We start from the raw sequence: 15,817 nt of genomic DNA on the forward strand, positions 1-15,817 counted from the left end.
TTTTTATTATTTTGAAAATCAATTTTGTAAAGAATCCAGGCCCAAGGGAAGCAGAGTGGAAGGGCAATAGCAGGAGGGGAAGGAACGGAGTGATCAGAGGACTCAGGCACCACCCATGAGTAGACAGGGGGCACCTGTGGCCTCTGGAGCACAGGAGGGATTGAAATAGGCATCATCGCCTTTGAAAACTCAAATGTGCATGACTGAAGCATAAAGGCTTAAAACCAAAATGCATCTGTAACACCCTGGTAAAGCATCGCGCTGTGCTGGTGAAAGGGTAGTTCCGTGATGGAGGTGTCGTCCTTTCCAACTCCCAGGGGGAGCCCAGACCCAGACCCACAAGTCCTTGCACACATCATGAATGAGCTCCTGAACCTGTGTGGGTACCGGGAGAGTCCAGGCCGGTCAGCAGTGTGGCCCCGCCGACAGGCCTGCGCCGTACCCGTAATCTCAAGCCCTACCTGTTATCTCAAGCCCTACCTGTGATCTCATGCTGCCGGAGCTCATTGTACTTGTAGGACTGCTCCAGAGGCTTGATGGATGAGTGGTAGATCTTCCGAAGCCGCTGCAGCACCGCTGGAGACAGAGAGGGCCGGGGGAAGAGCATCACGCAGGTGCGATCCAGGCAGCTCCTCCATTGTGGAGGGGCCTCACCACCCAGGGCAGCTCCACCCCTGCCTGGTGGGCAGCAAGTGCTGTTTGCAGCCCAGCGACTGTGCAATGTATTTGCATATGGGGAGCTGGCCCACATCTCAACTCGCAGAAACCTCCAAATGAAAAGGCATTCTCCTACCCACCCCCAAAGCTTCCTGAACTGTTTGGTTATTTTATTTTATTATTTATTTATTTATTTAGAGAAAGGATCTTGCTCTGTCACCCAGGCTGGAGTGCAGTGGTGCAATCATAGCTCACTGCAGCCTCTAACTCCTGGGCTCAAGTGATCCACCCACCTCAGCCTCCCAAAGTGCTGGAATTACAGACATAAGCCACTGTGCCCGGCCTGAGCTGTTTTTTTTTAAAACCTCTCTCCTCCTTCCTCACCTCAGTAGTGTGTCTGAAACCTTGTCTCGGCCTGCTGCCTCACTGCAAGCCCTTTCTTTGGTGGATGAGAATTCCATCTCTGTTGCCCACCTCTGTGTGTGCTCCCTGAGGCTTAGAAGGCAAAGAGGCCCAGCACCCAGCAGGCGCGCAGAACAGCACCCTGGCCCTGGCGTTGGCCTGTCAGTGTACTCCCAGACACTCCCCGGAGGGGTGGGGTCAGATAACCCAGGTGGCCTCTTTCTAAGAGTTAGCTCCCTGCTGGGAGCCCACAGTGGGAAGGCCTATGGGGTGACGAGTCAGGCTAGCGAGACTCTACCCCTCGATCCGCCACCCTCTAGCCGTGGGCCAGGAGCAAATCGCTGCTAGCCTGAGCTCCAGTTAGGTGGCTCATTGATTAAGAGGAGACAAGCCCTGCTGCAATCCTTGGGTTTCAAAGATAAAATGAAACAGCACACATGAAACGGCTTTATAAACTAAAAATCACAGCGAGGGAGATGGCATCAGCACAGCATGGGGCTGCACTGGCTTCGCCCACACCAGGCCGTCTACTTGGATGGCCCTTCCTCCTCTGTGCCCACCTGGAACCCCAAGGCTTGGACCTTGCTCACAGAGCCTCCTCCACGAAGCCTCCCACCTTCAGGGCTCTCCTCTTCCCCAACGTCCCCTCCAGCCTCCAAGATAGATACAGCCCCGGCCTCCAAGATACAGCCCCGGCACGCCCTGGCTCTCAGGAGCCTCCAGGAGTCTGCCCGGGCCCTGGTGGCCGGGCTCTCCCAGCCCTGGGCATATCTCCCTCCCCTGGTTACCAGAGTAGTCATCGGATGGCTTGTCCTCATTCAGCATGAGGGTCTTCTCGATGTGGGAGCGGTCCCTCAATGGGGCTTCTTCATTTGCATCCTCCGTCTCTTCTGTGGAGAGAAGCAGACAGCCAAGTGAGAGCAAAGCTAACAGCCAGCTGAGCTCTGGGCCCCGGCACAGCAGACGAGGGCTGGGCCTCAAGCAGGGGCTCAACAGGGTCTTGCCAAGTTACACTGGACTGAGCTCTGCCTTTAGGAAGGAATTTGATCATCCAGACTCTATGAAGTTCCATGTGTAGTGTATTCGCATTCGGGGAGCTGGTCCACAGCTCAACCTGCAGAAACCTTCTTATCTATTTATTTCATATATTCAACAAATATGCATTGAACACCTTCGCCACGCCAGGCACTGAGCATCATGCTGGGAATACAGTGGTGCCCAAAACAGGCACAACTCCTTAGGCAGCTGCTCTTAGTCCAGTGGAGTCAGAGATGATAGTCTTTAAAGTAACGCTAGGGCCGAGTGCAGTGGCTCACACCTGTAATCCTAGCACTTTAGGAGGTCCAGATGGGAGGATCACTGGAGCCCAAAAGTTGGAGACCAGCCTAGGCAACATAGCAAGACCCCATCTCTACCAAAAAAAAACTTTCCAAGGAGTGGTGCACACCCATAGTCTCAGCTCAGGAAGCTGAGACAGGAGGATTCTCTCAGCTCAGGAGGTCAAGGCTGCAGTGAGCCATGACCACCCCACTGCACTCCAGCCTAGGTCACACAGCAAGACCCTATCTTAAAAAATTAAAACATCAAACATCTCAGGAGGCTTTAGGGCTAGGTAGGAGAATGCCTTTTGGCTTGAACCCCAGCCTGGGCAAAAGAGGGAGACCCTGTCTCAAAAACAATAAAAATAATTAATAAAATGTAATCATTACAGATGATGAGGTGGCCACAGAAGGAAACATTCTGAAAGCTAAGTGCGGCTCAGGAGTGTGCCTGCACCAGTGGTCTCAGCAGCACGGTCAGAGAAGGCCTCCCCAGGTCTCTGCTGGGGGGAGTGAGTTAGGTGACCAGTGGAGAGAAGCGTTCTGCAAAAGCCCCAGACGAGCCTTATTTAGCAAGAAGCAGGAGAAGGGGTGTCTGGCTGCAGCTGGGGAGGCCTGGGTGCTGGGGAGCTGCTGAGGTCCTCAGGGCTGACCGGGCAGGACCTTCCACAGGGCTTTGGGTTTCATCCCAAGAGCAATGGGAGCCAGTGAGGGGCTCTAGGCAGGCAGCCTAGCGTGATAGTGCATGCCTGTAGTCCCAGCTACTCAGGAGGCTGAGGTGGGAGGATCGCTTGAGCACTTGAGCTCAGGAGTTAGAAGCTGCAGTGAGCTATGACTGCACGACTGCAGCCCAGCCTGGGTGACAGAGTGAGACCTTGTCTCAAAAAAAAAAAAGTATGTAAATTAATTCTTCAACGAAGCCTGTGGGGAAGCCATCTTGGAGAGTGAAGACTTGACCTCGACCTCTACCCTGAAAGCCCCACTCCTGGTCTAAGTCCATGTACTAAGCAGATGCAGCCATGAAGGTGCCTGACCGACCCTCGTATTGGCTGCAATTCTCACACTGCCCGAGAGCTTAGCCCGGCCCTTCCCCCTCTGCTCCTGGCCCCGAGCCCTTTGAGGGCAGCTTTGGCTGCTTTAGGTGGGCACTTGAGAGTCAACAGCGGTCACAGCCTGAGTTCTCATCTCATGATCCTGACCCCTCAGTCCTGGTTCTGCAATGCTTCCTACAGCCTAGTCTTCAAGGGGAGACCCCAGTCCTAGCCCACTAAGGGAATCACCAGGGAAGTTCCCAACCCACCCCCATCCATTCCCTGCACGTCCCTCCACCCGCTGGCCCCGGGGCACCAATCATTCCATTAGCTCGCTGCTCCTTTAGGCTGAGGCACTGGCATGGGCTACGGCGCATCAGGGACCCTAAGGGGAGGTTCTGGGGCCCCTGACTCGGAAGTACCAGGGCCCCTCTGACCCCTCTCACTGGCCCCTCCAAGCTGGAGGCCAGTGGCCAATGCACAGCCTGAAGCCACCTCCCCGGGCCGGGACTGTGAAAAGGGCCTGCCACCCTCTGCCACCTTCTGTCCCTGCCTGTCCCCTACACACAAGACTTCCAGGGAGAATGCAGCTGCCCAAGGGACGGGGTTGCTGTTAGGGAATTAATTCCTACCCTGGGCAACAATGATGGGACTCTCCCTCCCCCTGATGTCCCTCCTCGGGCTCCTCTGCCTTCATATCCAGGGTCTCACTGCCCATGGACTCTGTATTCAATTCCTCCGGGCCAGGCTGGGCCCCTCTGTCCCTGTGACTTGTGGTTCCTGTGGCTTCCGGAAGCTCTGCACCTTCCTGGGGTTCCCTGGCTTCCTGGGGCTCCCTGGCTTCCTGGGGATCCCCACCTTCCTGGGGCTCCCCGCCTTCCTGTGGCGCTCCACCTTCCTGGGGCTCCTCGGCTTCCTGGGGATCCCCGCCTTCCTGGGACTCCTCGGCTTCCTGCAGATCCCCGCCTTCCTGGGGCTCCCTGGCTTCCTGGGGCTCCCCAGCCTCCTGGGGCTCCGTGGCCTCCTCGGAGGCGCCCTCTGCTTCTTCTGAGCTAGCCCCATCGCCGCTGTCCTCTTCGGACTCCTCTTCGGAGGGAACTCCTCCTTCTTCCTCGCTTCCACTTCCATCACCACTTTCCTCTTCAGAGGAGGCTTCATCTGCGTCCTCCTCAGTCATCTCTGGGGACTGGTTCTCCTCAGTGTCCCCTGCCTTAACGCTTTGGGCGCCCCCAGGCTCTGCACTGGCCTCTGCAGCTGGGCCGGGCTCCCCCTGGTCCTCGGTGCCCTCACTGGCTTGTGTGTCAATATCTGGCTCCGACTCTCCCCCAACAGCCGCGACGTCAGGGGCTCCCTCTGGCACTGCAGGCTCCTCGCCAGGCCCAGGGCTGCCCTCGGCCTCTGCGTTCAGTGGGCCGACCCCATCACCCTCTGAGTGAGGAGAGGCCCCCTCTGCCTTTGGCTCTGCTGTCCCTGCTACTGCTCCCTGCACCAGGCTGTCCCCTTGGACCTCCTGGACTTCCTCGGGGAGTTCATGGCCCCCAGCCTGTCCTCCTGCCTCTCCACTGGCAGTTCCCTCCGTGGGGAGCCCAAACCCAGTCTCCTCCTCTCCTTGTCCCTCTCCAGAACTGGGCTCCGGCCACTCCTCTTCCACAGGCCCCTTGGCCCCTCCTGGAGGGAGGGCGCTTGCCACTGGTGGGCCATTCTTTTCCTCCCCAGGCCCCGCAGCGTCCCTGTCGTCCCTTTCCCCAGGTGGAGGTGACTCTGTGGCTGAGGCATTGGAGAGGCTGGCTTCAGGATCGGGGCCCGCGCTGGCGGCAGACGCGGGGGTCTTCTTGGGGCTCTCGGCCTCCCTGCCATCTGGGTAGTGAAGGAGCAGTTTCTTGTCTTGAGGGGCTGTGTCTGCATAAAGCGCCCTTTCTTTCTCCTCTAGACTTGCGTCTCCAGCAGAGAAATGATTCTCCAACAAATTGCCAACATCTTCTGTGCCACCCGACGCGGAGACTTGCAGTTCTAAATGATTAGAACATGATTGGTCAGTTTCACAGGGTTGGCACCGGCTCTGTTTCTCAAGAGTCTATAATAACCTAGCTCCCGTCTTCTGGGATGTGGTGTTGGCCTGGTGTGCAGTGTTACGCCCACCAACCTGGGTCTTCAGGACTACCTCGTGCGTAGCGAGCAGAATAGGTGTTATTCTGCCTCCCTCCCAAGATGTAGAAGCTGTGGATCAGGGAGTTAAAGGACTGACCCGTTGTCCATCACTAACGAAGTGAGCAGCTGTGCTAACCCGAGAACCGCCCCCGCACCGCGACCCTGGCCCTGACCTTCAAGCTTCCGGGCTTGGTCCTGATGACTGTATATGGAGGGAAAGTTGGGCGAGCCCTTCCAGTCCCTCAACCTTGCTCACGGGCGTGTGCAGCTGGGCTCAACCTTGGAGATGCTTCCAAGAAGGGACAAATGCTTGTGCATCCCACCTCATGGCAGTTCCTACTGTCATTAACCAGCAGGCTTTTAATACTGCTCTCAGCGAAGGAGTGAAAACAGGTGTTTGCAGGCCGGATAATCTTAGGTTACACAGCACGGTGCTTAAGGGATTACTTGTGGCTCTCAACCTTATTAAGTCACACATCTAACCCTGTCCCAGTAAGGGCAGGCATTTGCTGGCCCCCCTACCTTAGATTAGAGGGTACATGGCCTGAGGAGGAGATATCTAAAACAGGCCGGGCCTGGCTTCCCAAAGGCTCTGGCCAACCCCTTCCAAGGGGATCCCCTTGTAAGGGACTGCAGCTTAACCCAGAGAGCAGAGGGCCCAGGAAGAGAGAAGAGTAGGGGCCTCATCTGTGCCAGAGACCTCTGTCAAGGATCAAGTTTAATATGTTTGGAAAATGGGGTCAGAAAAGGCTAAGTGTGGTGGCTCATGCCTGTAATCCCAGCACTTTGGGAGGTCGAGATAGGCAGATCACCTGAGGTTGGGAGTTTGAGACCAGCCTGGCCAACATGGTGAAACCCCATCTCTACTAAAAATATGAAAAATTAGCTGGGTGTGGTGACACACACCTGTAATCCCGGCTACTCAGGAGGCTGAGGCTGGAGAATGACTTGAACCGGGAGGTGGAGGTTGCAGTGAGCCGAGATCGCGCCACTGCACTCCAGGCTGGGCGACAGAGTGAGACTCCATCTCAAAAAAAAAAAGAAAAAAGAAAATGGGGCCCATTAGGCCCACCCCTCTGCCCCCTGCCCCCAGGCTAGGGTCTGTTTATGGGGGACATTGCAGGCTCATGGAGATGAGGGGACCACAGGTGTCCTGCCTTGGAGCAGCTGAGGCAGCCTCTGTTCTTCCTTGACTCTCAAGGCCCCTCTCCGAGGAAGAGTACCCCACCTATCTGCTGGATGCAGACAACCCCCCTCTCTCAGGCCACCACTTGCTACTCCCATCTCTCCCTCCCACAAAGAAAAGCCACTTCTTGGAGTACCCCTTCTCCCTCAGGGTACCCACCCTTGTTCCCCAAAAGCTGGGTGGCCTCCAGGGATCAGGAGCAAATATTTTCTCATTAGTTCCCATAGACAGCTAGCCTGTTGTCGAACTCAGAAAGATGTGAAGCTTGGTGCCTTTTATTATAGAGGAGCCCCGTGGATTGAAATATACAACTTTTCCCCCAGCACTTTCATATGCATGGCCATTTAACCTTCTTTACGACTGTCAGAGAGATTTCAGAGCTGAATAAGTGAAAGTCCAGAGATCTTTGCCCTGCCCTAGATACATCACCACTAGGTAGTTAATGGGTGACCGGAACCCAGAACTGCCCAGTCCCTGTCCAGGCTTCCATGCCATGCTGTGCTTAGCAGGGCACAGGGGACCCCTTCCTGCTGGAATCTCAGCTCCTGCCTGCACGTGCCTTCTCTTCAGGCTCAAGCTCCGTACTGGTCCTGGCTCCTGATTTGCAGGAATCCAATTTAATTCTGTGTTCCCAGGGCCTGGCACCCTGCCTGACCCACAGAAAGTGCTGGAAGAGGTCCGCGGTCAGATTGGGGTACCAAAACGAATTCCTGGTCCCTTAGTGGGGGACAGGACAGGGAGCTGACTGTTGCTCAGTTTAATCTCCTTTCATCACCACCTACATACCTGTAAGTCCTGACTCCTTCACCTACATCTCTATCTCTCCACCTTCCACCCCTGCAGAAAAATCTATGGTGGGAATTTGGTTTAATCAGAAGAGACTGAATGTCCTCTGAACAGCAGGATACGTATAATGTATATGACATACATCTGTATGTACATATCTGAGATACAGCCTGCCAGGCAATGCTTAAGCACTTTATATATAAAACAGTATCTTCATCATACTGAATTTTCTTAATCTTACTTGTTTTGGTAAAATGAGTATTACTCATATCTTTTTTTTTTTTTTTTTTTTTGAGACAAGGTCTCACTCTGTCACCCAGGCTGGAGTGCAGTGAACGCGATCTCGGTTCACTGTAATCTCCACCTCCCGGGTTCAAGCGATTCTTCTGCCTCAGCCTCCCGAGTAGCTGGAATTACAGGCGCATGCTAAGTTAATTTTTGTATTTTTAATAGAGACAGGGTTTCACCATGTTGGCTAGGCTGGTCTTGAACTCCTGATCTCAAGGGATCCACCCACCTCAGCCTCTCAAAGTGCTGGGATTACAGGCATGAGCCACCACACCCAGCCTCATATCTCTATTTTTACAGATGAGAAGTCTGGAACCAGAGACATTGAGGCCCTTGTTGAATGTCACACAGCTAATAACTGGCTTGGGCCATGTGACTTCAGAGCCACAGTATCCCCCGGGAGCCTGTTAGAGACGCAGACTTTTAAGCCCCAGCCTGGACCCATTGAATCAGAATCTGCATTTTAACAAAATGGCCAGGTGATTCCTGTGCACATTACAGTCTGAGAAGCGCTGGGCTACACTGCCTCACAAACTGCCCCTCAGCCAGCGACTCTCAGCATTGGCTGCATATTGAAATCACCTGCTTCTTGGTCCCATGCTTCCCTTTCTCTGCAGTTTTGATTTAAATAATCCAGGGTATAGCACCAGCATCATGATTAAAAAAAAAAAAAGTTCTTAGGTAACACACAAAGTTGCAAACCACTGCAACTACCAAATCAAATAATCTTGACCCCCAGGCTTCAGCTCCCAGGCCCTCCCTACTCGCAGGCCCACCCCACTAAGGATCCCCATTGTGGGCTCCCACGTTGGGGGGGGTCTCCTAGGGCCTGGCATTTGCCTTTGGAACAGCAGTAGTTAAGGCTTCTCCTCTGGGAATCCAGCCCTTTCCATGGGCTCCTGTTGTCCTTCAATGATGATGGTGATGACCGTGCCGATGATGAGGATCGTGATGATGATGATGATGGTGATGATGGTGATGGTGATGACCATGCTAATGATGAGGATCGTGATGATGATGATGGTGATGATGATGGTGATGACCGTGCCGATGATGAGGATCGTGATGATGATGATGATGGTGATGATGGTGATGGTGATGACCGTGCCGATGATGAGGGTCGTGATGATGATGATGATGGTGATGATGATGGTGATGACCGTGCCGATGATGAGGATCGTGATGATGATGATGATGGTGATGATGGTGATGGTGATGACCGTGCCGATGATGAGGATCGTGATGATGATGATGATGGTGATGATGATGGTGGTGACTATGCTGATGATGAGGATCGTGATGATGATGATGATGGCAGCAATGGTGGTGATGATGATGATGGTGATGACGACGATGACGACGATGGTGATGATGGTGAGAGTGATGATGACAATGATGATGAGAATGATAGTGGTGATAATGATACTGAGTTGAATGAACTCTAGGTCTGATGTCCTATAACATTTCTGACAGTCTCAAAAGCCGTTTTCCCTGGTAAAGGTGAGAGGGCCACACAGTCCCAAGGGGGATGAAAGTTCCAAATGTTGGAGGTTCACCGTGACCATGACCTTCACACTGCTGTGTGTTTCCACTCCTGCGCCCTGGGCAGGAAGCAAGGTGTGTGCATATGTGTATGCACATTTATATTCAAGCTCTTCCCTGGTTTTCACAACTTAGGGCTGAGCTTCCCCTGAACTTCTGCTAAACAATTTGGAGTAAAAAGGACTGAGGATAATGGCTTCTTACACTGTGACCTTTCTCCCAGGCTAAAAATAACTGCTCCAACAGAAAGTCTCTCAATGAAACAAGCTGTCCCATTGGGCCCCAGAGCTCACTCCCCAGGAAGCAGCTGTGCCACTGGACCCAGTTCTCCTCTTGGAGGCGCAGACAGAGGTGTGGGAGCCTCCGATTACACTCACTTCCATCGCATGACATCTCACTTCAATCCTGGGAAATCAAGGCTGGTGTCTTTCCCACCTCCCTTGCTTCTTGCCGAAGCACCCTATTGGCCCTGGAGCAGGGAGGCCGCAGAGGACCCAGGACACCCTGGAGAGGTGAATCCCCAGTAAGATGAGTCTTGGTCTATCCTGGGACATGAAGTACCGCACTGTATGTGCTGCTGCCAGGGTGGCCCCCCCGACTCCGGCCAGGCCAGGCCCGGGACTGACGTCAGGGCACAGGAATAGCAGGCCCCAACTCTGCCCAGAGACCATGGGAAGGCCCCACCCCACTCACACCCAGTCCAAGCACAACACACAACAATCCTGCTTCTCCCACCAGCCCCTCTGCCACCAGCCTTTCTCGGGGGGCCAGCTTTCCAGCAGGTCCCACCAGCCCCACAGCCTCAGGGCAGGCCCAGGCTCAGTCCCTCTCTCCTCTCTCCATCACCAACCAAATGCCCTGATTTTGTTTCTTCAGCCCTGTCTCTTTCCAAAGCACTTCTACATGGACTCAGAGGACTATGGAGTTGCCAAGGGCCCTCGTGAGTCCAACTGTAAAGGAGGACGCTCTGGCCAGATACCTTCAGAGACTTGCCCAAGATTGGGGCAGGGGTGGGACAGAGTCCAAATATATGAACCTTAGTCTGGAGTTCTTTTTGCCCCCATGGAGTTCACAAACCATGTCCCATGAAGTGCTAGGGTTCCATAGAAGTGACTCATGGGGTGAGGAAAGATCAAACAGCAGAGACAGCCACCCACTTTGTACTTCCTGCTCTCCTTGAATTTGTCTGCCCCAGTGTCCACAGAGAAAGACTGCAGGGAGATTGGCAAGCCCTGCTCCTTTACTCTCCTCGCTTCTTCCTTCAAAATATTAGTATCTGCCTTGAGCCTCCTATCCATTATTTTCTCCAACGTCCCAAGACATCCTGCTTACAGCATCTTTTTTTTTCTTTTTCTTTTTCTTTTTTTTTTTTTTTTTTTTTTTTTTGAGACAGGTCTTGCTGTCGCCCAGGTTGGGGTTCAATGGCACAATGACACCTCACTGCAGCCTCCACCTCCTGGGCTCAAGGGATCCTCCCACCTCAGCTCCCCCAAACAGCTGGAACTCCATGTGTGTGCCACCACATCCAGCTGATTTTTTTCATTTTTGTAGAGATGAGGTCTCGCTATGTTGCCCAGGCTGGTCTCAAACTCCTGGCCTCAAGCGATCCTCCCACCTCAGCCTCCCAAAGTGCTGGGATTACAGGTGTGAACCACGCTTACAGCATATTTTCACTTTGCCAGTCCACACGTGCCAGGCTCTCAGCTGGGTCATCTCCTGCCCTCACGTAGGACTCCATCTTTCCAAGGTAGTTTCCTGTGCTTATTCTTCTCTGATGCTCCTAGCAGCCCTCTGAGGCAGAAAAAGCAAGGGTTGTTAACCTCTCTTGAAATGAGGAAACAAACACACGGAAGTCAAGTCGTTTGCCTCACAAGTCATTCCAGGGATGGGCTGGAACTCAGGCCAAGAGACAGAACAAAGCTCCCTGGGAGCGACCATGACCTGCTGAGCTGTTCAAGCCCAGATACCCAGCTTCTGGGGCTGGGTCAACGTGTACCTGTGTGTTTCACAAGGGGATTCTACAGAACACCAGCATTTCGGACCCTCTGCACTAGCCATCCTCAGTACCAAGGGCCAGGAAGCTCTGTCTTGAAGTTGAAACTAGAGATGGAGAGAATAGAGGTCAGGACCTGTTTTCAGCCCACCTCTGGGTGTTGAATGTATTCAGTGCCTTCGTGCAATCAAATGTAGATTCTATTCCAGCCCGTCCAAGTCTCCTTAGCACATGTTTATAACAAGTACCTGCCAAGGTTATTCTTCCACATGACTTCTCATCCATTTGAACTAGAGCTAGCAAGTCCAAAGTCATGCGTAAGTAAAATACCTCTGACCATTACTCATACACAGTTATGCAAATCAGTCATTAGTAACAGAATCCCCAGCGGGGGCAGGAATCACTCTCCAAATCTCTGCCTGGTTCATCTGTCCCAGAGAGTGAGGAGCACCAGCCATGGCATACATGTGAGCCCCATGTCTTGCCCCCATCCACCCCCCGCCCCACGTTTTGGCTCTCATTGGCTGTATATTAAGTGCAGCAGGGAGCAATTCAGAAAACAGAGTTCATGCCGCAGAGCAGGCAGCCTGCCCCCTTCCTTGTTCTAGATCTTGTCTCTGAACACTCGTGGACCGGGCAAACGTGGGCCAGCAGCCTCTTCTGGTGTCCTGTTTTTCCTTGACTTTATCCTACTGGGTAAACATTCACTGCTCAGGACCCCTTGCTCTTCCACTTTTTTTTTTTTTTTTAGACGAAGTCTCATTCTGTCGCCCAGGGTGGAGTACAGTGGTGCGATCTTGGCTCACTGCAACCTCTGCCTCCTGGGTTCAAGCGATTCTCCTGCCTCAGCCTCCCGAGTAGCTGGGATTACAGGTGCCTGCCACCACTCCTGGCTAATTTTTGTATTTTTAGTAGAGACAGGGTTTCACCATGTTGGCCAGGCTGGTCTCAAACTCTTGACCTCAGGTGATCCACCCGCCTCAGCCTCCCAAAGTGCTGGGATTACAGGCATGAGCCACTGCACCCGGCCTCTTCCACTTCTTAGATGAAGTCTTAGGACAACTTTGCAGAAGGCTGTTGCCCATAAGGACCCGAGAAGAGAAATTCTGGCTGGAGGAAGGCTTGTCTGCATTCTCCCAGGACCCCTGAGGTCCTCTTCTGCCATTCTCTCAGCCTTTCCCTCTTCTCCCAACATGGGCGACCAGAGTGCAGGGGCTGAGGCAGCCATTCTTGGAAGGCTTCTTTGGCTTCCTGGCCATGCTCCTAAAGTCAAGGCTAATCCCACTGGGACAGCTTGTCCCTGGCTGGACTCTAGCCCTTAAAATGATTCATCCAGGGAATCAGATACAATGACAAAAGTATGACAGGGTACAATGACAAAGGTAGCAATCAGAAAGAACCTTGGGATTTGGGGGTCCAGAGAGATCTTCTGATAGACCAACTGGCTTGATTTCACTCATGAACAAAACCCCAAAACCCTGGTAAGTGCTTGTCCCAAGGCCATGGGGCTAGTTAAGGTAGTAGGCAGCAGTCTGCTTCTAGAACTCAGCTCTCTATGGACGCTCTCCCAGCAGTGGGCCAGCCAATAAGAGGGTCTAAGTCTACCCTAGGACAGTGATTTCTTAGCCCACCCTCTTCTACTCTTCAATAACAACTGTTTTAGGCTGGACGCAGTGGCTCTGAGAGCCCATGGCTCACACCTGTAATCCCAGCACTTTGGGAGGCCGAGGTGAGAGGATCCCTAGAGCCCAGGAGTTTGAAACCAGCCTGGGTAACAAAGCAAGACCTCTGTCTTGCTTACTACTTGCTTTGTCTTACTACTGGCCCATCTTTCCAAAAAATTTTAAAATTAGCTTGGCATGGTAGCGTGCGCCTGTGGTCCCAGCTACTGGGGAGGCTGTGGTTGACGGACCTCTTGAGCCTAGGAGTTTGAAGTTGCAATAAGCTTTGATAACACCACTATACTCCAGCCTAGGCAACAGAGGGAGACCCTGTCTCAAAAAAAAAAAGGATTAAGACTTCAGCACAATTGTTTTTAACCCATAGAGTCCTGAGAATTGACAGAATAACTTCACTCCTCACCCCACCTCCAATTCCTGGGAATTCTTGGTTTGGGAGGTAGAAAGAAATTACCAGAAATCCCACAACCATCATATATATACATGCTTGTCACTGATGCCTGGAGGAGTCATCAGTATAAATGACTATTCACTTTTATTTTATTTTATTTTTATTTTATGTATTTATTTATTTTTTGAGACAGCATCTCTGTCACTCAGGCTGGAGTACAGTGGTACAATCTCAGCTCACTGCAACCTCTGCCTCCTAGATTCAAGCGATTCTCCTGCCTCAGCCTCCTGAGTAGCCGGGACCACAAGTGCACGCAACCACACTCGGCTAATTTTTGTATTTTTTGTAGAGATGGGGTTTCACCACGTTTGCCAGGCTGGTCTCAAACTCTGGACCTCAAGTGATCCACCCGCCTCAAGTTCCCAAAGTGCTGGGATTATAGGCATGAGCCACGATGCCCAGCCACTATTCACTTTAAAAAGACAAATACCTCAGAAAGAGCAAAACATTATATCCTAACCCCTCAGTATGAGTCAATCACTAGCAGGGATACTCTATAGAGCACTCAGTTTTTCCAGAGATCAGCCGTGCCTGCAGTGAACAGAAATCCTTGCAGAAGGCCTTGGGCCTGCTGCCTCCCTTCAGAGGGGCCGAGCTGGGGAGGAAAGGGAAAGGAAGGGGAAAGGGATGCAGGCTGGGTTCTGAGACAGACCAAGGCAGGTGGCTGGCTTCCCCCCACATCCCAGTCCGAAGAAATCCAATCTCCCTGGGATCTGTGGGGATGAGGTGCTGGTCTAACTTTTGGGCCCCAGACAGGAAAAGACTTACTGGAAGCCAAGGGAGCGTGGCTCCCGCAGGTCTCAGTCTAACAGCTATCCTGGGTTAAAGTCAGAGCCATCTCCAGCTTGGCAGGTGAAGGGGTCAAGGAATCTGGGCCCACCCCATCCCCAATCCAGGGAAGCTGGAGGGAATCTTCTTGAGAAACGTGGGAGCTTGGGAAATGGGTGTGACACCTTCCCTAGCCTGAGCCAGGCCCACGGCTATGCCTTTTCTTTCTTCCTGGGGCTGAGGCTCCAGCCTCCTAGATAGTGGCTGGTCTCTCTGAATGCACCTGGAAGTCAGGAAAGCTGGGTTCTGCCCCTTACTCTTTTTCTTTTTTTACAGACCCTGTCCCTTAGAGACAGGGTCTTGCTCTGTCACCTGGACTGGAGTGCAGCAGTGTGACGAAAGCTCACTGCAGCCTTCCTACTTGTCACACTTCAGCCTCCAGAGTAGCTGGGACTACAGGCACGCGCCACCATGCCTGGCTAATTGTTTTATTTTTTGTAAAGACAGGGTCTCACTATGTTGCCCAGGCTGGTCTCAAACTTCTGGGCTCAAGCGATCCTCCAGCCTTAGCGTCTCAAAGTGCTGGGATTACAGGCGTGAGCCACTGGCCCCTCCCCTGCTGTCTTACCACTGGCGCCCCCACCCCCCGCTGTCTTACTACCCAGCGAAGTAACCTTGGGTTGCTCCTTACTCCCTCTGCACACAACTTTATTCGCCCATAAAATGTAGATAACAATACCTGCTTTGCCAGCCCCATCAGAGCGTTTTAAACATCAGGTGGTGCTCAGAAGCATTTCAATAAATGTCAGCTATGAGCATCATTCTTTCCTAGAAGAGCAAAGACACCAGGCCAAATCCCAAATTTGCTGAGTGGGCCACAGCAGAGCCAGCTTCGGACAGGAGCCGAGCCAGCTGGCCCTTCACGCTGTTCCTTTAGCCCTCCGGGTCTGGGGGCTCAGTCAGGGGGCCCGGAGCCATCCATCCTTCTGCCAGGGACTCCTCCTCCCTGGCTGCCAGCCAGAGGCAGCTCAGGCGAGGAGCTGCAGGGTGCCTGGGGGTGAGCCCTGCGCTCTTGGTGAAGTTCTGGCTGGTCTGGGAACGGAGCAGGCTGAGCTGTCAACACTCCCAGGGGCCAGGAGCTCGTTCTGCTGATCCCAAAGTTAACCCCTGCAGTCCCTGACTCCAGCCTCAGTCAGCCCTGATTCACCAGCAACATCTGAGGCCACATGTGGCCTCCCCTTTCCCCACCACGTCCCATCCCTTCTGTCCAGTCACTGAAGTGAGGTGACCCCGCACTTCACCCCAACGCAAACGCGCACTCAGGAAGTTTAAACAGACCCATTCTAAGGGCCACGTCTTTCTGAGAATGGGAGGGAAGCCCTTTCCGAAGGCAGAGGACCGGTAAGGGCCCTTCAAAGCTCTCTGAAACAGCAACACGGTCGGAGGGAGGTCATTAGCAGTGCTGTGTGGCTTCCTCATCCTCATGGTAAGTGAGCACTGGGAGTAAGACAATCAGCCCTTCAGAAACCACTCGGGCCTGGAGAACGCAGCCAGGGCTGAGCCACAG

The 15,817-nt window shown here is 53.2% G+C and overlaps 1 protein-coding gene across 8 annotated transcripts in view; it reads right to left on the reverse strand.

The window, feature by feature from the left end:
* SRL (sarcalumenin) overlaps nt 1-15,817 on the reverse strand; it is a 52,707-nt gene that overhangs the window by 13,312 nt on the left and 23,578 nt on the right. For 3 of the 8 annotated variants that reach the window (NM_001098814.2, XM_047434447.1, XM_017023528.1), the window contains exons 2-3: nt 1,848-1,949; nt 481-576 (exon numbers count right to left, since the gene is read on the reverse strand). In NM_001098814.2, the coding sequence (NP_001092284.1) occupies nt 481-576; nt 1,848-1,949 (198 nt within the window). Of the gene's footprint in view, nt 1-480; nt 577-1,847; nt 1,950-4,041; nt 5,420-11,020; nt 11,151-14,989; nt 15,345-15,817 lie in introns of those variants that run through there. The other 5 variants (XM_047434446.1, NM_001435440.1, NM_001323668.1 and 2 more) reach the window with 5 other exon arrangements.

This window comes from Homo sapiens, chromosome 16 (assembly GCF_000001405.40).
Source record: "Homo sapiens chromosome 16, GRCh38.p14 Primary Assembly".
In the NCBI taxonomy this organism is placed as follows: domain Eukaryota; kingdom Metazoa; phylum Chordata; class Mammalia; order Primates; family Hominidae; genus Homo; species Homo sapiens.